General features: G+C 34.9%; 1 annotated feature.

Annotated features, from left to right (window-relative positions):
• Positions 24697–25324: an enhancer, noted in NCBI's record as "OCT4-NANOG hESC enhancer chr9:22483523-22484150 (GRCh37/hg19 assembly coordinates)". NCBI's record gives its function as "activates a minimal SCP1, AML or CMV promoter by ChIP-STARR-seq in naive H9 embryonic stem cells {active_cell/tissue: H9 hESC(naive)}" and the evidence as "EXISTENCE:reporter gene assay evidence [ECO:0000049][PMID:30033119]".

Genomic DNA, 26607 nt, shown 5'->3' on the forward strand with positions numbered 1-26607 from the left:
CCCAAATCAGGTATCTATTGGAACCAAAATACAGAGCTCCACCTCTTAGAGATAGCAGGTGTCAGATACACAAACATGTTTTCCATCTGATAAGAGATGTTTCAATATGCACCAGGCCCTAATTCCTACAAATTCCACAGATATTACATGCTCGTGAATGTTTATAGGGTTTATTCTTCAAGCCTCTGGCATGCATATCTCTGGACAAGATATCTAGAGTATTTTCTACCTTCTGCTTATTGGGTTCAATCAGAATGATATCTATATAGTAGGCTTGCTTGATGTCCCGTAGAATGGAGAAGCAAACAAGTTCTTGGTGGCCTATCTATGTAGTAGACTTGCTTGATGTCCCATAGAGTGGAGAAGCAAACAACTTCCTGGTGGACTACACTGTAGCAGAGAGCTGGAGAGTTGAAATAGTCTTAAGGAATGCTACGTGCATTACTGCTTCTAGTGGTTCTTACTAACAAGTATAGAGAAAAAGTATTTATGACATCAGCAGCCTAAAACTACAAAAAAGAGGCTGTGTTGGTTTGTTCCAATAAAGCAACTACATCTGGAAATACAACTGCAGTTATAATCATTACCTAATTAAGTTTATGTCATTCCACAAGATCCATCTGCCTTAGCCACAGGCCAAATAGGTGATTTGAATGGGAATGTGTTAGGACCCCTTCCATCCTTGACTGTGGCACAAACTTTGGTGGTCCCTCTAGGAATGTGTTATTGCTTTTGTTTCACTGCTTTGGGAGGGAGAAAAGTTCTTAAGACTCTATTTGACATTTCCAATTGTAATAGTCCTCAGTCCCTGTGTCAGAGATCCAATGTGGAAATTCTGCCAGTTTTTGAATATGTATCTTCCAAAGATGCTTTCCAGAAATGAGGAAATAAATGTAGAATAGATTTGGGAGCCCATTAGACTCACTGTGAGATGGACTTGAACCAAACTGTCATTGATGATTAGACCTTACTCACCTCTTTAAGACCTACCCAGCCTGGTGGACCACAGTGGCAGTTTAGGTTTCTAGAGAGTAGTTATTGTTCGGTAAATTCTAAAAAGTAGGGTTATTTTTATTTTCTTAATGTATAGTCTCTTGGTAAATTGGTTTAGGTCCTTTCGGAGAAAGCTAGGAGAAATATTTACTATGTAAATTACTGAAAGTGTAGCAGAGTCTCTACTTACAAGTACCCATCTTCACTTTCTGCAAGAGGCTCTGGGTCTATAAACAGGTTCAACTCTAGAAGTATGTTGAGGGGTCATTACTTTCCTTATGATAATTTGAGGCAGACTTAGCTTTATCAGACCTAGTGCTTTTCCACCTATACAAATCAAGTGTGACTTTATTAACCTGCCCACCTATTTCATTTGTAGAAACACAATTATTGATTAGTCAATGCAAAACATCTCTGTAGGTCATATCATTCTGGTAATTGCTTCAGCACAATTTTTTAAAACATAGAATTCATGTCCATCTTGTATCTGTAATATAAGTGCCACTTCTTGGATTTCACAACTCCTGGGTCACATCATCCCTTGTGAATTCAGGGAGGGTATTTTCCTGGCCACAAGTCTCACAGATATCCCTGGCATACAGGGAAAAGCCACAACAGAGGACTTTGATGATGATGGTGCTTTCTTTACCAAGGGGGTACCATCTTCGAGGGTCTCCTAGGGAATATAATTTAGAGGTGCATAAGCAGTTAACATGTAATAAATCCACTCCGACTTTTAATCTCCAAAACCCAGTGCACATGATCTTGCCAGAGTGGCTTAATGGAAAGGGCACTATGGAGGTGTCTATAGAAAGCAGTTTTCTCTATGTAGCTACTACATCCGTGAGTCCTCAGCCAAACACCTGCTGGTGGGAATTGGGCTGCTCTTGGTCGACAAGATCAGCAATTAGGAATATACGCTAATTTTCTAGTGGAAGAGAGAAAGGACAAGTTAAGACCTGCTGGGTACCGCTGAATCTTTCTCACTGTAATGACTTCTGCTTCCTTTCTGCTTTGTAAATCTTGTAGAGTTCCTCTTTGGGCCAACTCAAACTTTGAAACATATAGGGAAGGAAATTCCGGGAAATTTAGTTTCCAGTCTTAGCCAAGTTGACAGAACAAAATCAAGCATATAAAATATTATAAATTTCATAGTTTTTCAATTGTATAGCTTTATGAAGCAGTATTTTTTCTTACTCCGAATCAAAGCATGGGCACATATTAAATACAGGGAATCAATAATAGTAAATGCCTAATGTCTTTAGGCTGACCTACTGTTGATTTCACTAGCTTTAAAAATTTATTTTAAGATAATTTTAAAATTACTTGTCATTGTAAGAAACAGTACAGAAACATCCCATATACCTTTTACCCACTTTTCTCCAAGAGTAACATCTTGAATAATTTTAGTGCAATGTCACAACTAGGAAATTGACATAATCCACAGAATATGCATGAATTTCATTCAAGACAACATACAAAGTCGAGATTTTTGACATAGGAAAACGTCATTTTAAAAGATCATTCTCACTGTGTGGTGGAGAACAAAGGAGCAAAGAAGGGAGCAAAAACATACATTTGGAGGTTGTTGTGTAAACCAGATAAGAGACGACAGTGGCTTAGAAGATGATTGTAAAAATAAAAAAAGAGTTGGAGGTGTGGTAAGTAGTAATAAGATGGTAGATACATTTTGAATGTAGAAACCGTAAGATTTGCTTAGGGATTCGGGTGTAAAAAAAAGAAAGGTACCAAAGATTCTTCTACAGTTTTGCTCTAAACAACTGGACTGAATGGTGTTCTTACTTACTGAGATGAGAAAGACTGTAAATTTGTTCATTTTTGTGCCATTCAGGCAGCCTGAAAATTTTCAAAGAACAATTATTATACTGGCCAGCCATCTTTCTGGTCACAATAGGATTATATTAAAATGTTTTTAATTGAAGAAAAACCATAACAACTTTTCTTTCCTCTAACCGCCTCCTTTTACACGCTAAGAAAGTAAAACGAAAGTACTGTTAGTAACTTAGGAGTAGAAAGTAAAATTTCAATGGAGTATTGTGAAAAATACTTAGAGGTGAGTGATAGTTACAAATTAACTACTACACAGTGTGATGCAGCTTAAGAGACTGAGAAAAGGAAATTTTCAGCTTTAAATGTATTACCTTTCAAAAGTTTACAAATAATCAAATAATTTAACTCAAGAAGCTAGGTAAGAGTAGGTAATGGATCTGAGAAAGGAGAAGGGAATTATACAGGGAGAAGTAGAGATTAATAAAGTAGAAATTAAATAACAAAGGTGCAGGTCAAAAAAAGCAAAAACTTGTTCTATGAAAAGATTAATAAATAGAAAAATCTCTATAGAAAGGCTCACCAAGAAAGAAGGAGAGAAGGCATAAATACATAATATTATAAGTGATATGGGAGGTAGAACAAGAGATTCAGTAGAGATGAAATAAATCATAACAATAGTATGAATACTAAATTTTTTGAAAACTTATGTCAATTATAAACATTTTTAGGAATTATTTAAAAATTGGCAAAGTTGAGAAGCCACCATTAAATAAGTGGAATATGTAGTTTAAAAAATGCAGGCCTGTGCTTCCATGGGACTGTCAGTGCCACAGTGTTTCTGGCAAGGTTTACCAAACATGCAAGGAACAGCTAATCTCTATTTTATGAAAAATCTTTTAGAATATAAAACAAGAGAGAATGCTTATTAAACTTCACATTAGAGGTATATCTTGATAACAAAACATGACAAGTGCTGAAAAGGAAAATTTATTTATGCAGAAATCTTAAATGAAGGAAATTAAGAAATCAAAGTCACTTGTGTATCTAAAAATAATACACATTAACCATATATTCCTCAAATACAGATATCTTATTGGTGTAATTTTTTACATTAACAAATTAAGAAAAATCTTATTTATAGATAAAGAAAATATTTAATAAATTTCAAAGCTAATTTTTAAGAAACCTTTTAGATAACTAGGGATGAAAACTATGAATAGATCCAGTGATAAGAAAGAGACATTTTAACTAATTCTTACTAAACTATGAGTTTTAAGTTGTTGAATGGTTGCCATATGCCTGTCTTTTGTGTGTGTGTATGTGTGTGTGTACGTGTGTGTGTGTGTGCATGCGTGTGTGTGGTTTCCCTCATGTTACAGAGGACAGACTGAGGAACAGAGGGTCAAGGAATCTAAGTTCATGTTGCAAGTAAAGTAGAGGAGCTGGGAGTTGAACTTCACACTTGGATAGCCTCTATCCCAAATTTATGCTCTGTATGACCTGTCTCACACTAAAGTAGGTAAAGCTGGTAAATTTTATACTTATTTCATTACTCAGGAGACATTTAATCAGTGGTTCAAGGATATCAGAAGTTAGCATGTTGTGATTCTCTTGTTCTCTCTTGCTCACAATAGGTCTATCATAGTTTCAGCCATCACATTTGTGTTCTTGTAAAAGGAAGAAAGACTCAGCAAGGAGAAAGATGTGACACCAGTCATCTACTGATAAATATTTAACAATAACGTCAGGCTACTAGGTGGTGGTGAACATATCTGATTGTAGCAATTGCCTAATCCCATGGTGTAAATACTTGAACCATGACTAATTTTAAGCTATCAAACTGATGTCACTGAATGGGGTTTGGGAAGAAATGTACACCATAGGTTATCTTGGCAAGCATGGATTGGCTCTAGAGCATGGCTTGGTGGTGCCTATATCAGGAAAGAAAAACTATCCTACAAATCTCCAGCAGAACTTTGCTCATGTCTCAATGACAAGAGTAGTGTCACATCACCTGCTGTAGCTCTAAGAAATTGTATGTTTTATTTGAGCACATTGCCACCTCAAATAAAATTGTAAGGAAATGCCTATTCATTAAAGAACCAACAGCTTCTGCCTTTAATGGGAACTTCCTTAATTTAATGCAGCAAACATCATACTTAATGGCAACTCTTTAGAGAGATCTTAAAGTCAGAAATATGACAAGAAGAGTCACTCATACTGCTTCTATTGAGCATTGTACCAGAAGTGTTAGCCAATGCAGTATAATACAAAAATTGAATAATTGTTGAAAATTAACTCAATATTTTCAATTGCTATGATAAAAAAATCAAAGAGAAACTAGAACTAAGGAAAGAATTCAACAAGATGGCTGGTTATAAGCCCAACACACAAACAAAATCAGTAACTTTTCTCTCTCTCTCTCTCTCTATATATATATATATAAAAAATATATATAAATATATATAGAAAATATATAAATATATATAAATATATATAAAATATATATAAATATATAGAAAATATGTATAAATATAGAATATATAAAAATATATATAGAAAAAATATATAAATATATATAGAAAAGTTCTTGATTTATATATATAGAAAAATATATAATATATACAGAGAGAAGTTATTGATTTTATATATATATTTTCTATGTATATAAAAACAATAGCTAGTTAGAAAAACATAGTAGAATAAAAAAATTAACATTCATAACAGCAACAAAAACTGTAAAATGCCTAGGATCAAAGTTAACTAAATACGTATGAAAACTTGAAAAAAATTATGAAATGTTTCTAGAGAACATAAAATAAAACTTTAATAAATACTTATGGAAGAACATAAATATTTATGGAGAATGCTCAATAGAAGTACAATGCTCAATTAGTAAAGTTGTCTATTCTTCCTAAAATAATTTGGGAGACATTTTGTTAGATATAAAAGCTGAAGAGCCAGAATACTTGAGTTCAAATTCCACCTCCACACCTTACTTGCCAAATAACCTTAGGTAAGTTATTTAACTTCTTTGGGCTTTCATCTATTAAATCAGTTAAATGGGTATAATGCTAATAATTTTATACTCCTTCATTTGATCACTCAGGTGACCAAAAGAATGAATACATGTAAGATATTTAGAGCAGTACCTGGCCCATTTATGTACATATGTTTTATTAACCTATAAATCCAATGCAATTCCAATAAAAATTTCAGGAACTTTTGTTGAGTATGATGCCTCAATATGAAAATAAAATAAAAAGCCAAAAAAAAAAAAACCACCTCAGATACAAAACAGTTCTGGAAAAGAAAAGAAAAAATTTTACTATCAGACATCAGATTTCCCTATTAGATATCCAATTAGATTTTTTTTATCAGATGGCACATAGTAAGTATTCAGTAATTATAGTCATAGTTTAGGCTAATTATAAAGTTATACTAACAGTGTGGTAATAGACAATCAGGTATAGATAATCAAGTTAGTAGAATGTCATAGAAACTTACCCAAGTATATATGGAACTATAGGATAAGATTCATTCATTTATACAGTGAGGAATTTATTGACACCTTCTATATCCCAGGCATTCTTCTGTGCACTGGGGGATACAACAGTGAGAAGACTGTCAGGATCCATGCCCTTGTGAAATTGATGTTCTAGTTAGTGTGATCCGATAATAAACAGACAAGTAAATATAAACTATATCAGGTAGTGCTAAGTGTTATGAAGAAAAGTAAAGCAAGATAAAAGAATAGAGAATGCTGGTGGCTGGGAGAGTGACAGCAATGGCTATTTCAGTTTGGGTGGTCAGAAAAAGCCTTTTCAGAGAACATGGCTCATATGGTTTGGTTTTGTGTGCCCACTCAAATGTCATCTTGAATTGTAATTCCCACATGTCAGGAGAGGGAACTGGTGGCGGGTGATTGGATCATGGGTACTGTTTCCCCCATGCTATTTTCTTGATAGTGAGGGAGTTCTCACCAGATCTGATGGTTTCAAAAGTAGCAGTTTTCCCTCTCTCTCTCTCCTGTTGCCATGCAAGACGTGCCTTGCTTCCCCTTCACCTTCTGCCAGGATTCTAAGTTTCTTGAGGCCTCCCTGCCATGCAGAACTGTGAGTTAATTCAATCTCTTTTGTTTCTAAATTACCCAGCCTCAGGTAGTATCTTTATAGCAGTGTGAGAACAGACTAATACAATGGCATTTGAACACAACGGAGTAAATGGCAAGGCAGGTATGTAGAGGTATGGGGCTAAGGAGAACCACAAGCACACAGGATGGAAACAGGAACAAGCCTAATTTTACTTGCAGTATGCATGAACAGTGTGGTTAAAACACAATGTGATAAAAGAGGTTGGAGAGAGATCAGTATGGTGTTGGTGGCAGCAGTGATCAACTGAAATATTTAAATTAGTGTGATGTCTCAGAAGCCACTGGACAGTCTGAGCAGGGAAGTCAAGGCTGGGTTTACATTTCACAGGGATTTGTCTGATTACTTTGTAGGAAATAACTGCTCTGCAGTGCAAGAGAGGAAGCAGGGAGAACAATTATGCTATTCAATAGTCTAGCTGAGGACTGATGGTGGCTTTGACCAGGACTGGAGCTGTGACCAGGACTGGAGGTGATAAAAAGTCGTTGGATTAATGCTTAAATTATTGATGAACTGTGTGTGAGGTATGATGGAAATAGAAGTGCCAAGAGTGATGCTTGCATTTTTTTCTCCTAAAAGATTGTGTGCGCCTGTAATCCCAGGACTTTGGGAGACCAAGATCAGCAGATCACTTAAGGCCAGGAATTTGAGTCCAGCCTGGGCAACAAGGTGAGACTCCATCTCTACTGAAAATACAAAAGTTAGCTGGGCTTGGTGGCCCACACCTGTAGTCCTGGCAACTTGTGGGGCTGAGGTGGGAGAATCAGTTAAACCTGGGAGGTGGTAGGAGTGAGCTCTGATCATACCACTGCACTCCAGCCTGGGTGACAGAGCAAAAACCCTGTCAAAAACAAAACTAACCAACCAACCAACCAAAAAAAAAACAAACAAAAATGCAAGTGATTTTTCTATTTGCTGACTTTTTCTTTTTTTACATTTTAAGTTTAAGGTATCTGTTAGATATCCAAACTTTAGGTATCACATAGCTGTTACATATATGAAGCTAGAAGTCGGAGGACTAGTAGGAAAACGAGAGATAAATTAGGAAGTTATTATATTTAAAGCAATGGGTTTGTGTAGGATTTATTAAGGAGAAAGTATAGATAGAGTCAGGAGAATGATGTTCTTCAGCATCCAACATTTAAAGGTGAGGAAGAAGAGGGGCCAGCCAAGAATATCGAAAAGAAGTGGTTATTGAAATAGGGGAAACACTGTCTTAGAAACCAAATTAAAAAAAGGGAATGGGGATAATGAATTGTGTCTGTTGCTAATAAAGGTTTAATATGATGAGAACTGAGATGGATCATTGAATCTGACGATCTTATTGTCAAGTGCCCCTAACAAGAAAAGATTTGGTAGGGTAACGGTGGCTAAAACCTGATTGGACTGAAGGAGAGAATGGGAGTTGAAGAATAAACCAAAAGTTTAGTTAATGTGTTTGAAAATCTTTTTTTAAAGGGTAACAGGGAACTAGGATGGCAGCTGAAGAGATACATGGATTCTAGGAAGTTTCATTTGTTTTTCTTCTAAGGACAATAGTATGGCATGTTTGTGTGTTTATAGGAATAATGCAGTAGAGACAATGATGCAGAGAAGTAATAATGGCAGGTGTATAGTCTTCTAGTGGTAACAGGAAATGGGATTTTGGGGACGAGTAGAGGAGATGGCTTTAGAGAAGAGCAGAGACAACCATTGTAATAAGGGGGAACGAAGAGTATAGGCACAGAAGCAGAAGGTTGGTAGGTTTATGATGAAATATGAACCATTTCTCCTTTAAGTGCTTATATTTTTTTCAGTAAAATTGGAGGTGAAAGCACAAACTAAAAATGAGAAGAGGAGAAAGAAGGCGTGTAATAGTTATCTTGGAGATTAAAAGAGTGAACTGATGATGGAAATTGCCTGGTGCTGCTGAGAGTCTGTTGAGATGTGTTGATAAACATTTCAATTGGTTTTCTTCAGTTATGTTCTACTTATTCTATAGAGTCATGTCCTCACCTTCTCCCTTCTCCCAATTTGCTTGGATTCCTCACTGATTAATCCCAAATGGAAGCTGGAGGTGACAAGATATTTTGATTTGTCTGTACAGGTCAACCTTCTGGGATACAGAGTGGATGGGGAAGAAGAGTTGATCTGGAAGGATAAAGGTACATATCTGGTACATCATCATGCTATTCACAAAAGTAAATCCCAGATAGAATAAAGGCCTGTATGTTAAAAACAGAACTTTCCGATTATTAGAAGACAATGTGACTATCTTTATATCTAAGGGGGATGAAAATATTTTTTTTTACCAAAACAGAACTATAGTAAAATTAAAAATTTTAACAATAAAATACAAAATAACCGAAGACATTAGAAACTACATATATAACATACAAAAATATCTATTCAGGATATGTAAACACTATTAATCAATAAAATTGGCCAAATAACCAACAGTTTTAATGAACTAGTTGGATCTTTATGTATCAATACGGATAAATCTGAAGAGAAAACTGCTGATTAGAAAGAACATCTCATGAAATAATTGTGTATACTACAATTCTATTCATGAAAATTAAGCTAAAATACAGAACTTAGAATATATTTTTTATGGGTAGATATATAATAAAAGTACAAACATATGGACTGGCTATAATAACCATATCAGTTACCTCTAGAAAAGGAAGGAAATGGAACTGGTGAGTGTAACAGGTGTATGAATATAATCTGTAAGGTTTCATTTCTTTAAAAATTTCAAGGGTCGCACATGGTGGCTCATGCCTGAAATCCCACCACTTTGGGAGGCCGAGTTCAAGAGATCGATACCATCCTGGCTAACACGGTGAAACCCCGTCTCTACTAAAAATACAAAAAATTAGCTGGGTGTGGTGGCGGGCGCCTGTAGTCCCAGCTACTCAGGAGGCTGAGACAACAGAATCGCTTGAACCCGGGAGGTGGAGATTGAGGTGAGCTAAGATCGCACCACTGCACTCCAGCCTGGCGACAAAATAAGACTCCATCTCAAAAAAAAAAAAAAAAAAAAAAAAAAAAAAATTAAGAAACTCTGAGCTTTAAAATTTTTTCAAAATAACAGAGTTAATCACTTAATTTACTTAATACAAAAATACTGTCTCAGGCTCAGATACATGAGAATGATTAGGGTCAGCATTAGACTGCACTAATTTTAATTCGGAAGACCAAGGTTTGCAGTGTCATGGCTGACATTAAAGAATTACTTCAGTACTTATTCCACTCCCATTCTTTGTTGAGTAATGGCTCCAAACAAGCAAGAAATATTTCTTCTCAATTTTTGCCTCCCATAGCAAAAGAGAGCCTTTAGTATTAAAAATATTCCCAGGAATTTAGGAACTGAGTAGCCAGAGAGGGTTCTTAATTCATCCATTAATATTAACTGATTTTTTAATCTAATATGCAGCATGCATAAAACAATATTCTGGGCTATAGAGAAATACAGAAATGACCTTTGAGGACAAAAGCAGGTGGCAATAAATTAACATTTAGTAAACACGTCCAGTTGGCCAGGCTGTAAACAAATTTGACATCACAGTCAAAATGGAGTTCCTTAAATCTGATGTTTTAAAAATATAAACTTAGTATTTTTTTAATTTGCCAGTTAGAATCTTGTTTTCTATTAATAAAAATTAAATATTGATGTTCCAAATAAGAGATTTATTCGATAAAGTAATTACAACAGCGTTCGTTTTTGTCGCTTTCACCCTGAGGAAAAAGACAACTCACACGGACAAATTTGTGGGAGCTTAAGATTTTGTTTAGACTGTCTTTGAACTTTCTTTTGTCTCCCTTTTCTGTTAGCAAAGCATTTCCCATTTCTCTGGGGTTTTGTTCTTTCTCCATTTTCTGATTTTCTGAACTGCAAGATGCATTGGGTGACACTGGAGCCAAAAGCAAGGATGTAAGATTTAACTCTTGATTTTGCTACTTTTTGTTTGATCTTGATTAACAAAGTTGATTTTTTCAATGCCCCAATCTCCTCATCTGACAATTAGAATAATAATAACACCTAGCCCTGAGGATTGTTGACTGGAAAGGAGGTAGATTAAGTAGTCAGTAATAATACATCTATGTCAATTTCTTCAACAATGAGCAGCATTACAATTCTGTAAATGAAATCTGTGATTTTAAAAATATTTACAATTGAGATGATAAAACAACTCATTTGTCATTGGAAAATTGCGCTACACCACACAACTTTGTGCTTCAGGTTTTCGGATGGAGGTGGCTGCAGACCTTAGGTAACGTCAGCTACCTGTGTTTTCATCCTGGGTATGTGTTCATGGTTGTACTATGCCATTTACACCTTGCTCAGAATGGGTCAGCTCTATGAGGAGTGATTTTTAAAATTTCCACTTGAGGGCGCTGTCTACTTCTGTGCGAATTGAAATACCGCAGATGTCCAATTACACAAGGAACGTTTTTAGGCAGCTGGATTTAACTTGTATCAAACTTCCAATTTATTCCAGTGACACGTTGGCCTTCCTTATTGATTGGTGCTCCAGGAGGATGGATCCTTACTTGTGCTGAACACTTTATATTAGACATTTCATTAAATTTTATTAATCCTTTCAAATATCTTGAGGAGAATACTTATCCCAATTTTATAAATGAGTAAACAATCTGAGAAAGGTTAAGTAATTCTCCCAAGCTGTCCTAACCAGTGTGTGATGTAAAACTTAGACTTAGGCCTAGATCACTCAAAGCATAAAACCAGTTTACATCTAGTTTACATTCTTCCATATTTTCTTTCTTTTAAATATATGTGTATTATATATTTGAACATACCATATACACACACATTTATATAAGTGAATGTATGTACATGTATATTCAAATATATATGCATCTGTGTATGTGTATATATATATATCTGTGTGTGTGCATATTTGGGTATATAAAACATATATAAATGTAATTTATAATTTGGTGGGCAAATATAATACATTTAAATGTTATGTATAAATATATTTACATGTACTATATAAATGGGGCTTAATTGGGGGAAGAACAGAAGGTATCTTATGTATAATATATAAATATTATATAAAAATACTTGCCCACTAAATTGTAAAATTACATTTAGATTTTATTTTAAAACATGTCCAAATTAAATATCTTGGTGAAGAAAACACAGATACCACTGTTTGCCTGCAGAGGAAATTCTGTTTTCTTGCTGTATAATGCAATAAATGTGCTAAGGCAGAGCCAGCATGCCCAACTGTTGTATCACATTGGCAAGCTGTAATAAAACGCCAAATTACTGTCTAGAAACAAAATACATTTTTGTTGTTACCAAGAGTTGCTTTAACTAAAAGGAAGGCACCCTAGCCCTTTAAATAGGTAAGTTCCCCCCCTTCCCATTTCTTGCAAAATCGAATTAGGTAAAGACTACAATAGTATTTGCATTTATAGGAAATCAATTCCCAGAGCACAGTAAGCCAGTAATTTACATAAAATTACTATTTCCCAACATAAGTAAAAGCAAAAGGGATAGTATACATTTTTATTTAATTTACAAGCAAATGTGTAAATATTACCCATCCAGGTAACCCAGTTGGTGTTTGCCACACCAACCTCTTTTTTAATGGTCTCCAGGTTGGATGCGATTTTCTCAAACTTCTCAAACTCAAGAGATCATATTAACTGAAAGGTGATTGAGAAGAGCATTGAAATAATTATCTTTTGAGCTTTGAATAAGCGGTCATGGCCTTCATCATATTAAATAGGAAGCCATTATTATATACCTGTTATGTCTGAGGCATTGTGCTGAGCAGTTATAAAGCCCTTTCTGAAAGTAGGGCTTGGTAGGGGGAGGAGCAGAAGGTATTTGTATCTGAAGGGGAGAGCTGTGGGAATGAGAGAAGTAGATACCACTGAAAAGCTCAGCCTTAACCTCGATGTCTACACTTTGCAAATGTTGCCTGCACGATGTTGTGTTGTATCCAATGAGGTAAATGTGCTCCAGGCATTTCAAGGAGAGGAAATGGCAGTGGATGGCCATAGAGGTGCATTTCTTCTTACTTTTTGGTAGTTTAGCAAGAAACCAGCTCAGTAGGTCTGAGTTAATTCAATAGAAGAACAGGCTGATACCAGAGACTGAGGCTCCCTGCCCCACCCCAGCTATTTCTAACAGAGCCACTTCCCTCACCAGGAAGCCACTACTGGTTTTTGGTGGCCTAGCTTTTCCCTGCAGTACTACTTTGCTCCTTTCCCTCTATGTGGAAGGTTACGGAGGTGGAATTCTTTCCTGTTGCTCTTCTGTGTTATATGCAATGTAGCTATGCCCAGCCTAAGCATAGTCTCCTCTGTGGAACAGATGAGACTTTAAGAGATTGTGTACGCTCTGCCACTTGTTTGTTTCTAATTAAAAAAAATACATTGTACCTGAGTGGCACTAATGGTATATGTGATCATACCCCCTTTACATGACACATCTGTTTATAAAATACTATGTGCGAGTAAGTAGGATAAAGACTACCAAATAAGTTATAATTAGAGTCACAGCTAAAGCAATCTGTTCTTCCAAATCTGGCATGTCACCTGTGCTCAGAACCATAGAACCAACTAATTCACACCTGTGGATATGTCTGCATAAATATTCCAATGGCTTGACTGACTACTCTGCTTGCGATGAAGGAACACTTTTAAGAGCCCAGATCATGAAACAAACTTTGATTTAGGCCCATCAAAGTGGCATTTTTTTGAGAATATATCAGTGGAAGTGTTAATGTTAGATAACAATATGTTATAAATTTTAACACTGACCTTTAACATTCCAAGAGCAGGAATTGCCCGAGGCTTGCTACTGTCATTGCCTCTAGTTCTAGTTAAACTAGAGGCTTTCATTTGGTCCTCCAGAGGCACTACTGATGAAATCACTTCGAGAAATGTCAGAATTGGATAAAACATTTTCGCACACATTAGGCAGGACAGGCAAACCTGGTGGGCTGATGTCAAAAACATAAAACCACATCATGGACTTGTTTGAAATACTTTGTCTGTCATGTCTACAAATATAGAGGCGCGTAAGACTCATCTTCCTGGCTGAGACCTCACACCTCAAAGGACATATGGGATTGATAGCATTGATAACTCATGGGCTTTTGGATGGAGATGTTGCTTTCCAAAATCTGGAAACGAAAAGGGAAAATTATGACCTTTTCTTTCCATGAAAAGAGTTGTATTGTTCTGTGAAAATTGCAATCAGAGAGTCAGACAAAGATAAATATATAAGAAAAGTGCTTGGAACGTAAAGCCTCTATGGTAATGACAACCATTTTAGCTCGATGAATTATATAACTAACCAACTGCTTTATTTTTTACCTGTTAACATGAACTTGCTTGAAAAAAATCAAAAAACATAAAAATACATACAATAAAAGATGTGCTTCCTTTTTAGTCCTTTATATTAGTTTCTTTTGTATACTTAGTTTTTTCCTGCAAATATAAGCAAATAGATGTTTATTTTATTCTTATCCCTTGCTAATACATTTCTAGCTTTCCACATATTTCCTGGATTATTTTGTACTTTTAAATTGTTGGGGCCAGGGATGGTAGCTCACGCCTGTAATCCCAGCACTTTGGGAGGCCAAGGCGGGTGGATCACCTGAGGTTGGGAGTTCGAGACCAGCCTGACCAACATGGAGAAACCCCGTCTCTACTAAAAATACAAAATTAGCTGGGTATGGTGGTGCATGCCTGTTATCCCAGCTACTCTGGAGGCTTAGGCAGGAGAATTGCTTGAACCTGGAGGCAGAGGTTACAGTGAGCTGAGATCTTGCCATTGCACTCCAGCCTGGGCAACAAGAGTGAAACTCTGTCTCAAAAAAAAAAAAAAATTGTTGCTATATTATGAGATGTCTCGATTTTAATGACTGTAATATATTCATTGTGATTTGTACCATTTAAAATTATTTTCAAAAGTGCCCTTTTTGAATTTTTTTTTTTAACTTTTAACACTTTGGCCTGAATTATTTCACCTCTGCTGATTCATTTGATAGTAGTATCACAATTCCTTTACCTTTCATTTTTTTGTGTGCATATTTGTATGGTATGCCTTTCACTATTATTTCCTCTCTGTTTTTTAGAGGCAGAGTCTTGCTCTGTCACCCAGGCTGGAGTACAGTGGTGCAATTATGGCTCACTGCAGCCTTGAACTCCTGGGCTCACAAGCTCTTCCTGCCTTAGCCTCCTGAGTAGCAAGGACTTACAGGCAAGCACCGCCATGCCCTGCTATTTTTTTTTTTTTTTAAGAGATGGGATCTTGTTATGTTGCCCAGACTGGTCCCGAACTCCTAGCCTCAAGCAATCCCCCTACCTTGGCCTCCCAAATTGCTGGGACTACAGGTGTGAGTCACCGCATCCCATCTACTTTCTACATCAACTTGTTTTAGTAGTATCTTTGTATACAATATAGACTTGGTTCATATTTTAGTTCAATCTGAAAATTGTTTTCTACTCTTAGGTGAATTAAAGTCTTTTATGTTTGTTAAAATGGAAGATATATTTGGCCGCATTGTAGCTAATTTTGGTCACATTCCTTTTGATTTAACAGTGACTACTTTAATGAATCAGCTACTGTCTGGTTTTGAGTGGAGTATTACTGACCTCTGTGGTTGTGAGGAAAAAATATGATGAGTTGGTTTTTAAATCCTTCTGCCTGGATGTAGTAGGCATCATTTTCAGTCACATTTCATTGACACAAGCAAATTAAAGCCATTTTAAAACATTTTAAAGCAGGAGGAGGGAAAATATAGTCCTGTCTTTGACCTGGAAGCACAAGACCAGGAATATTGTTCATAGGTGTATGATTGCCAAATGAAGCTGTCTGACATTTTGATTTCTGATTTTCAAGCTCACTATGTGAGTTACTGGGGTCTTGATTTGAGGATTTAGTTATGCTGGAGATTTGGTCCAAATATTTTTAGACATTTCGCTCTGTCAATGAATGACTTGGATTATATTTATGCAACTCTGAACAAAATATATTTTGGATATGGAGAAATTTTGAATATTTAAAATACTTGGCTAATGGAGAAAATGGCAATCATAACAATGATAATGATGAAGATGAATATAATGGGGAAGATAATGACAGGAAAAATAGTGCTTGAGAATTATAATCATCATATGACAAATGGCAGAACTTAAAGACTAACGATGTTTATTCAATGGCATTAGGAGTTATCTTTTTGGAATAACAGCTTGGAACATCACCGGCCAGAATGCTTTCACTTATAGTTTATGGAACAATCTGTTTCTTTGGGCTCAATTTATTGCAGTATATAATTTATCCTTCCAATTCACATTTTTCTGTTTATTATTGCAAATATTTTTGTTGGAGTTTACTCGTTAATATTATTTTAAACACTGGTCATTAAAATTTTGCATCTGCAGCTTTAAAATTGTTGCTAAAAGTGCTTGCAATAGCACTTGCATGGTATCTTAGTTACAGTCACTGTTCAAATTACATTATTTGAATGACTTCTATAAAAATAATTTTTATTGCTGAAGAAAAATTGTACTGTAGATCTCCTCTCACCTTCAGCATAACATATAAGTCACAAAATGAGCTAAAATTTTAGAGAAAACAGATGGTTGTTCCTTGTATTCATTAACTGAAATTAGTCATAACAAAATGCTAATTTTGATCAGACTTATGTAATGATACAGGCCAGTATTTTTCTCTGGTGAACCTTAAAGAAAAAGAAAATATCAATTACTATTATTTATTGAGTATTTAATATGTACCAGTAATTGTATCCTATCAATAACTTAATAAAGGGGGAATTATTATGTTCATACCCATTTTCTGATGAAAAATCTTGTCTTACTCTTCAGCTAGTAGAATAATGGAAGTATGATTGACACATAGGAAGTCTGACTCCAGAATCTATTGTGTGAGAGATGACCTTGCCACCATGCTTGACAAACTCCCTATCACTGCATTCAAATTGTATTTTATTCCAAGATAAAAATTATCGAGACATAAAAGGAAAAAATAAGGACCTTAGTGCTCACTTTGCAGTTTTAGATTTATAAAGGTAATTTTCTATTTATCTTTTCATATTTTGCATCAACAATACTTTATTACTACCCTAATTACGTACCAAATACTAAGCTCCTGGTAACTAGGAACCTGATTTGTTTAAAAGAACCCCATGTTTCCATTCATTGGAGACTCTGCGTTAGGCATTATACCTTATTAAATCAATATCTTTTATTGTTTGTAAACTCATATATTTGGAAAGATCATAACCATTTTATTGGAGATATAAACATTTAGGAACTGTAATCAGCTATACTAAACTGCTATCAATAATGAGTCAACTTTATATCTTCTTCATGCCAGAAATGAGTTAATTTTTATGCATATTGTTTTGCTTGTAGCTATTTGTTTTAGCACAATTGGCTGAAAAAAACTATTCTTCCTTCTTTGAATGGTTTTGACACCTTTGTCAAATATCAGTTTCTCATTAGGCATTTGAGTTTACTTCTGGACGCTCGATTCTCTTCCACTGATCTACATATGTCTCTTTATAGCAGTAACACACTGTCTGATTGCTGTTTTGTTATTTTCGAACTTTGGAAGTGTGAATCTTCCTTCATTTTTCTGCTTCATTTTTGAAGGATTGTTTAGGCTCTTCTGGTCCTCTTGCAATTCCATAAAAATTTTAGAATCAGTTTCTCAATTAAAACATCAGCTGGTATTTTTATAGGAATTTCACTGAGTCTATAGATTAGTTTGAGGTGTATTAACATTTTACCATTGTTAAGTCTCTGGTCTGTGAATACGGGATGCTGTCCCACTTATTTAGACCTTCCTTAATTTTTCTCAACAATTTCTGTCAACAAGTTTTCCTTTAACAATTAAAAGCTTAAATGTTATTGAGTTTTCAGAGCATAAGTTTTGCATTTCTTTGGTTAAATTTATTCCTATTTTTTATTATTGCAAATGGAACTGTTTTCTTTTATTTTTGGATTATTCTTTACAAATTGGTAGGAATACAATTAATTTTTGCATATTGATCTTGTATTCTGAAAACTTGTTGATGAGAAACTTTATTATAATAGTGTTTTTGTGGATTCTTTAGGATTTTTTCTGTACACAGTGTTGCTGTTTATAAACAGAATTTGTTTTTGTTAGTTTTTCTTTTTCCAACCTGGGTGTGTTTTATTTTTTCTTTTTGATTAATTGTCCTGGTGCAATGTCAAACAGAAGTGTTAAAGATGGTTACTTTGTCTTGTACCTGATTCTAGGGAGAAAAATTCAGTCATTCATCAATTAGTATAATGTTAACTGTGGATTTTTTGTAAATGTTCGTTGTCCAGTTGAGATTTCCTTCTATTCCTAGCGTGTGGAGTGTTTTTATCATGAAAGGGTGCTGAATTTTGTCAAATGCTTTTTTTCTGTATTTATTGAGATGCTCATTTGATTTATTTATTTTGATATGATAATTTACATTGATTGTAAATTATCAGATGTAAAACAACCTTGCGTCTTGAAATAAATCACACTTGGTCATAATTTATAATTCTTACAATATGCTGCTGGATTTCATATGTTAGTTATTTGGTTGAGAACTTTTGCATTTATATTCATAAGAAATTTTGATCTGTAGTTCTCTTTTCTTGTAATATCTTTGATTTTGGCATCAGAGTAATGCTGACCTTAATAAGGGAGTTGGGAGGTGTTCCCTTCTGTTTTCTGGAACAGTTTGTGAAGAACAGTTTCTTTGAATGTTCAGTAGAAATCAGCAGTGAAGCCATATTTTCCTAGGATACTTTGTGGCTATTTTAAAAAATGATAAATTCAGTATCTTCACCTAGGTCTATTCAGATCGTTTATTTCTTCATGAATCAGTTTCAGTAGTTTGTGTCTTTCTAAGAGCGTTTATTTCTTTTAAGTTATCTAATTTGTTGGTGTACAATTGTTCAATGTATTCATTTATAATCCTTTTTATTTATGTAAGGTTGGTAGTAATGTCCAGTCTTTTATTTCTGATTATAATAATTTGTCTTATCTTTATCTTTTGGTCAAACTAGGAAAGGCTGCCAATTTTGTTGATCACTTTGAGAAATTTAATTTTCTATTCTCTATTTCATTAATTTCCATCGTAATGTTTAACTTTCCTTCTCCTTACTTTAGGTTTACTTTGCTCTCTTTTATTCAGCGGAAGTTTAGGTTATTAATTTGAGACATTTCTTGTATATATTTTTGTGAGATGGAGACTCGGTCTGTTACTCAGCCTGGATTAATAGGCATTTCCACCTATAAATTTTTCTCTAAACATTGCTTTAGCTGCATCCCATGTTTTGACACATTGTGTCTTTAGTTTCATTCATCTCAAAATATCTTCTAGTTTCCTTTTTGATATTTCTCTTTTGGCCCATTGCTTGTTTTAGAGAGTGTTGTTTGATTTCCACATATTTGTAATTTTCTTTAATTTCTCTTTATTATTAATTTTTGTTATGGTATTATAGTCAGAGAACATAATATTACTTCTATCTTTTAAAATTTATTGATGTTTGTTTTATAGCCTAATATATGGTTTATCCTAAGAAATATTTCATTTATTTTCACTTGAGTAGAATGTCTATTCTGTTGTTGGGTAGAATGTTCTATGGGTATTTGTTAGGTCTGGTTGGTTTATACTGTTGCTCAAGTTTTCTGTTTCTTTATTGATCTTCTCTTTAGTTGTTTTGCCTATTAGTGAAAGCAGGATATCTAAGTCTCCAACAATTATTTTGATTGTCTATTTCTTCCTTCATTTGGTTAGTTTTTGCCTTATATATTTTGATGCTCTGTAGTTACTTTTTACTATTAGTTGTTAGGTGCATACACATTGATTATAGTTATATATCTTGCTAGATTAAAAATTTTATTATAAGAAGTTCCTCTTTATCTCTGATAACTTTATCTTTTGTATTAAGGTCTATTTTGTCCGGTATTAGTATAGTTACCCCAGTTTTCCTGTGTTGCTGCTGGCCTAACGTATCTTTTTTCTGTTCTCTTACTATTTTTTTGTTTAAGACAGGATATCACTCTGTCGTCCAGGCTGGAGTGCAGTAGCACAATCACAGCTTACCCTAGCCTTGACCTCTTCAGCTCAAATAATCCTCCCACCTCAGCCTCCCAAGTAGTTGAGACTATAGCCATGCACCACCATGCTCAGCTAATTTTTGTATGTATGGTAGAGATGGAATTTCGCCATGTTGCCCAGTCTTGTCTTGAACTCCTGAGCTTAAGCAATCTGCCCACTTTGGCCTTCAAAAATGCTGGGATTACAGGTAGAAGGCACTACACCTGCCCCATCCTCTTATTTTCAATCTATTTGTGTTTTTGAATCTAACATGCTTCTCCTGTAAATGACATACAGTTAGATCATGTTTTTTAATCTAGTCTGACAATTTCTGCCTTTTAACTGGGTTAGTTCCCATTTAATTTGATTCTTGATATTGCCAGATTTATGTCTGTCATTTTGTTTTTCCTTTTCTATAGGCCTCATGTCTTTTTGTTTCACTTTAGCTTCATTAATGATTTTCTCACTTTTTGAGCTACTCATTTTTAGTGGTTTCTCCAATGTTTATCATATACATTTTAATTTATCCGAATCAGCTTCGGATTATGCTAGCTTAATATCCATAATACATAGAAATGTTACTTCTATATAACTCTATTCCCATTTCTCCTTTTTTGGTACTATTATTGTGCATGTTATGTCTTTTAATGTTACATGCCAACAATATATTATATTAATTATTACTTTACCACCTATCATTATTTCTTATCCCATTATAGCTTTACTGTGACCAACTTCTTCTGTACTGCTATTGACAAATATATTACTCACATATTACATTTCCATGTGCTATAAGCACAACAATACATTTTATATTATTATGCAATTGTGTTTTAAAAATCTTTTAACTAAAGAAATAGAAAAAAATATGTCATTATGGTTTCTTTTATAATTACATCATTACTCTTACCAGTGCTCTTTGTTTCTGTGAATGGAATTGCTATCCAAGGTCATTTAGTTTCAGACTGAAGAATCCCCTTTAATTTTATTGTAAGTCAGGTGTGCTAGCAACAAATTCTCTCAGGTTTTTTGTTTGTTTGTTTGTTTGTTTTGGGCACTCTTTATTTCACCTCAATTTGGGAATGATAATTTTGCTAGGTATAGGATTCTTGGTTGACAATTTATGGTTTCACTGATAACTTTGAATATGTTATCCTCCTGCCACCTGGCCTCCACTGGTTATGGGGTGAGATTTCAGTCATGAAGCTCATTGGCGTTAGGTATGCATTATTTTTATTTTGCTGCTTTCAACATTTTTGCTTTGGCTCTGACTTTCAGCATTTTTATTATGGTGGATCTGTTTGTGGGTATCTGCATTTTGTCCTACTTAGAGTATGTTGAGCTTTCTGGATGTGTAAGTTATAGTTTTTAATAAATTTGGGAATTTTCAGTCATTATGTTTTTAAAATTCTTATTTCTTTTTCTCTTCTTCTGGTATTCCCATTATAAGCAATTGGTGTGCTTAATGTTCTGCATAACTCTGTATTTTTCTTCATTATTTTTTCTCTCTGTTTAGGCTTACATAATCTCTATCAATCTATCTTCAAGTTTGGTAATTCTTTGCTTTCTTCAAATCTAGTATTCAGCACCTCTAATGCATTTCTTAAAAATTTCAGTTACTGCGCTTTTTATTTTATTTATTTATTTATTCATTTTTTGAGACAAGGTCTCACTCTGCTGCCCAAGCTGGAGTTCAGTGGTGAGATCTCAGCTCACTGCAACCTCTGCCTCCTGGATCAAGGGGTCCTCCCACCTCAGACTCCTGAGTAGCTGGGACTACAGGCACATGCCGCACATCTAGTAATTTCTTTTTTTCTTTTTTTCTTTCTTCTTCTTCTTCCTTTTTTTTTTTTTTTTTTTTTTTTTTGTAGAAACAGGGTTTTGCCATGTTGCACAGGTTGGCCTCGAACTCCTGGTCTCAAGCAATCTGTAGGCCTCAGCCTCCCAAAATGCTAGAGTTACAAGCATGGGTCACTACACCTGGAATACTGCACTTTTTAACTTCTCATTTCTATTTTTCTTTTTAAAAACTTCCTAACTCTTTGTTGATATTCGTTAATCAGTGCAGCATTGCCATCATATGTCCTTTTATTTCTTTAATCATGCTTTCCTGTAGTTCTGTGAACACATTTATAATGGTTACTTTGAAATTATTTTCTCTAAATCTGACATCCTCCCACACTCACAGGCAGTGTCTGTTGCTTTCCGTCCACTCTATCCCCCACCAATATATGGATCTTTGCTGTTTCTTGGCATGTCTCAAAATACTTTTTTGGAAATGATATTTTAGATAATATATTGTAGTAATTCTGGGTATTCTTCCCCTCCTTACTGGTCTTATTATTGTTATTTGCTTGTTTATTTGTGTAGTAAGTGGTTGGATTATTTTACTAAAATGTGTTCTCCCCGACTTCTAATATTGAACCTCTGATGTTGCTCTTCAGGGAGGCACAGGGATAACAATAGTGCTTATAGAATTCTCTTCCACTCTTTTCCAGACTACACATCCAGATATTAAACTCCACTAATTTTCAGTTGATTTTTTGTTCTCAGCAGTACTTTGGACATACATTCCTTTACGAACTAATTAAATCAAATTTTAGCTCCTTCAATGGATAGGATAGTTTCTGCAGTCACTGTTCAGATATTTGTTCTGATCTCAGGAGGACTTCTCCCAGTTTTCTTATTTCTAGGTTCTCTCTGATAGGATAGCCAGTCTATCCTGTAGTTTAGGCTGTATTTTCATTAGATCAATGAATCTCTCCTCACCACAATCTCCATTGTTCATGAGAGTGCCTTTAGGTTTAAATTTGTCTATGTTCTGGTGCAAATGAAGTCAGTTCTTTTGAAAATAAATGAGGATCCATCTGTTTTCCAGTTTGCTGAAAAAATCTCTGAGCCAAGGTCTTAAGCTGACAGTGGCAAACACTTCTCTGAGTCACGACACTTCTGTTCTTGAAGCTGAATGCTTGGTGGAGGGATGCAGATAGCTTAGAGATGGAAATGGAGAATATAGAAGAGCAAGGAGGAACGCTGTGATACTGCATTAGAATTACAACTATCAGAGTAAACATCATACACACACACATACACACACATATACACACACACCCTCTTACATATAACAAACGGTCCATTTTGGGGATTTTTCTGACTTTTCTTTTGTTTCAGAAGCTTTAGTAAGAAGAGCTTCTATGCAGTTTTAATCGTTGAGCCAATAATATATATTGCTGGCTTACTTAATAAATTTTACATTAAACCAGAGACAAATGTTCATCCTCTAAGCAAGCAAGTTGACTTTTCTTTGCCATAAGGATGTATACAAATGTATTTTCTTACATGCACAGACAGCCAGATTAAAAAAGAAAACATTAAATGCATTAAACTCTCAGCTCTAAGAGGGTACAAACTACATCCCCTTCCTGTCAACTTTTAAAGATCAATTGACTTTTTGTCCTTGTGATAGTTTGCTGAGAATGATGGTTTCCAACACCGCATGTTCTCACTCATAGGTGGGAACTGAACAATGAGAACACATGGACACAGGAAGGGGAACATCACACACCGGGGCCTGTTGTGGGGTCAGGGGAGGGGGGAGGGATAGCATTAGGAGATATACCTAATGCTAAATGAAGAGTTAATGGGTGCAGCACACCAACATGGCACAGGTATACATGTGTAACAAACCTGCACGTTGTGCACATGTACCCTAAAACTTAAAGTATAATAATAAAAAAAAGATCAATTGAGTATAATTTCAAAGTTAGATATAAGTTTAATCTTGGAGAAGTTATAATCTTTTCTGGATATGAAATTTGCTTTTAGTATAGGACTAATGATTTGTGTGAATTCTGATTTGACATATATTTTTCACTACAATGATGAACCATTCACACTATATGTGGCAGAAAGCAGTGAAAAATGGAAAGTAAATTACATTAAAATGAAGGGTTTAAAAAAATCTATGGTGGGTGTAGCTTTAACCTATTGTCCTTGTGTGAAAAATGAAGGTTACCACTTATTTCTTTTAGAGAAATTTTCAAATACTTGAGAGAAGGAGGGAGAGAGAGAGAGAGTCATGAGCCAAGCACATTTTTTTTTTGTTGTTTAAATTGTTTGAGGTAATACAGGGAACTTAAAAAAAACTAATAGCTTGATTTTTTTGTCTGATACAGATTATGTAAAATAGGTACTTCAAAATGATATATGATACATAATGAATATTATTTATATTATTCCTCAATTTTAAATAGCAAATAATCCACATAGTATGTTAATTACATAGAAAATGTAAACATACCACATTTGTCCTTAAGTTTATTAATACTCAAATATCTCTGTATATCAAAAAAAATTGAGTAACAATAATTATTTTTAACACTTACCATGTTTATTGCTTGGAGGAATTACCTTACTCCTTAATCATATTCCAGAAATATTTTGAGTTTAGACTTGGAGAAACAAATTTCTGTCCCAGGGAAGACTTTAAGAAGGCTCTGAAGTATGAGAGAAGAAAATCAAAGTTGTTCAGTAGTATTTCCATCATTAAACCTTTAAAAATGTTAGTCAAAATCCATTTATTATTTCTGAAGCCTAGAAGACACAGTATGGCAAATTCCCCATAGTACATATTCTAAACTTTGCCATTCAGGTGGAACTGTTTGAAAAACCACATTTTGTGCTTCACTTCCTTCCTTTTCCTGAGTTTATTCCCTTTTACTTCTATTGGTAGCACTTAAAGTGATCCTTCCTGCTTTGAACAATTCACCATGTAAATAAAATAACATCAAAGAACCAGACTTAATACACTCCATTCCAGCATGGGCTCCCACAGGTTGATCTGAAGGAGACTGAAGAATTAATCACCCAGGATAGAAGCCTCAAGCTTTTCATATGCTTAATGCTCAAGTCACTTTCACAAAAAATGCTCTCCTTCCCTTTTGTTTTTATGTTTAGTTTTCTAAACACTGTCATTCTGTTTCCGCTTCAGCTCCAGATCCCCAGGATGTCTTGGCACCAAACACATGTAAAACAGATAAACACCTTCTTGCACACTCTAACAAGTGCAGCAATTAGTCTCTGAGCACAGCTTGCTCTCCACCATGGCAACTCATTTGGTGCTGTTTGTTATCATAGGAAAACAACTTTGAATCAGCAACATTTGTTTGATTCCCCAGTTTTCACCCCTGTTGGCATGGTGGCTTCTGTATATCCTTTTCATATCATAAGTTCTGCACCTCTAAGAAATGAGCTGCACCCAGCATACAGCACTTGACTCCTGTATGTCACCTTGTCACATTCTCTTGGAACTTTCAGCTCTGGGTAATCTTCACTCCATATGGGCTGTGATAACTACTTGCCATGGTGTGAATGATAGATAATTTCAGTCCGGACATTTTTTTCTTTCCTTTTTTTACATAATAGTAGAAACTTAGCATTAATAATCCTTGTTATATGTTTATAAACAGCCTATATTCCAAGATGCAAAATGTTATTTGCTATATACTCAAGGGGGTATATTTAGCAGGTGAGAGAACACTTTTCTTCTATTTTCTTGATGCCACAGAGAGGCTAAAGAATTTCTCTGAGTTGTTGCATAAATTGTAAAGTTGGATGTAAAGTCCTTATAAGGTGTTTATTTTATGTATTACCTTACCTTCCCCAATTATATTATTTCAGAAGTACTGGATTTTTGAAGAGAGTATGCGGGGCTAAAATACGTTGAAATTTGTCTTCTGTCCTGAAGCATGGTAAAGAAAGTTATGAATAAGAGTGCCTGTTTTCATCAGTGATGTATAATAAACCATATTTTCTTGTGTAAATTAGTATTATTGTTATTGGTGGCAAATTCATATGGGTCTGCAGTAACCTCAGTTCTTGCCTCCTCAGAAGAAATAATTTGACCAAGGAGGGCATAAGGCAGAAGGACAGACCAAGGCAAGTTTTAGAGCAGGAGTGAAAGTTTATTAAAAAGCTTCAGAGCACATTAATTTTGTATCCTGAGACTTTGCTGAAGTTGCCTATCGGCTTAAGGAGATTTTAGGCTGAGACGATGGGGTTTTCTAGATATACAAACATGTCATCTGCAAACAGGGACAATTTGACTTCCTCTTTTCCTAATTGAATACCCTTTATTTCCTTCTCCTGCCTGATTGCCCTGGCCAGAACTTCCAACACTATGTTGAATAGGAGTGGCAAAAATCACAAGCATTCTTATACACCAATAACAGACAAACAGAGAGCCAAATCATGAATGAACTCCCATTCACAATTGCTTCAAAGAGAATCAAATACCTAGGAATCCAACTTAAAAGGGACGTGAAGGACCTCTTCAAGGAGAACTACAAACCACTGCTCAATGAAATAAAAGAGGATACAAACACATGGAAGAACATTCCATGCTCATGGGTAGGAAGAATCAATATCGTGAAAATGTCCATACTGCCCAAGGTAATTTATAGATTCAATGCCATCCCCATCAAGCTACCAATGCCTTTCTTCACAGAATTGGAAAAAACCACTTTAAAGTTCATATGGAACCAAAAAAGAGCCTGCATCGCCATGTCAATCCT

This window comes from Homo sapiens, chromosome 9 (genome assembly GCF_000001405.40).
Source record: "Homo sapiens chromosome 9, GRCh38.p14 Primary Assembly".
Lineage (NCBI taxonomy): Eukaryota > Metazoa > Chordata > Mammalia > Primates > Hominidae > Homo > Homo sapiens.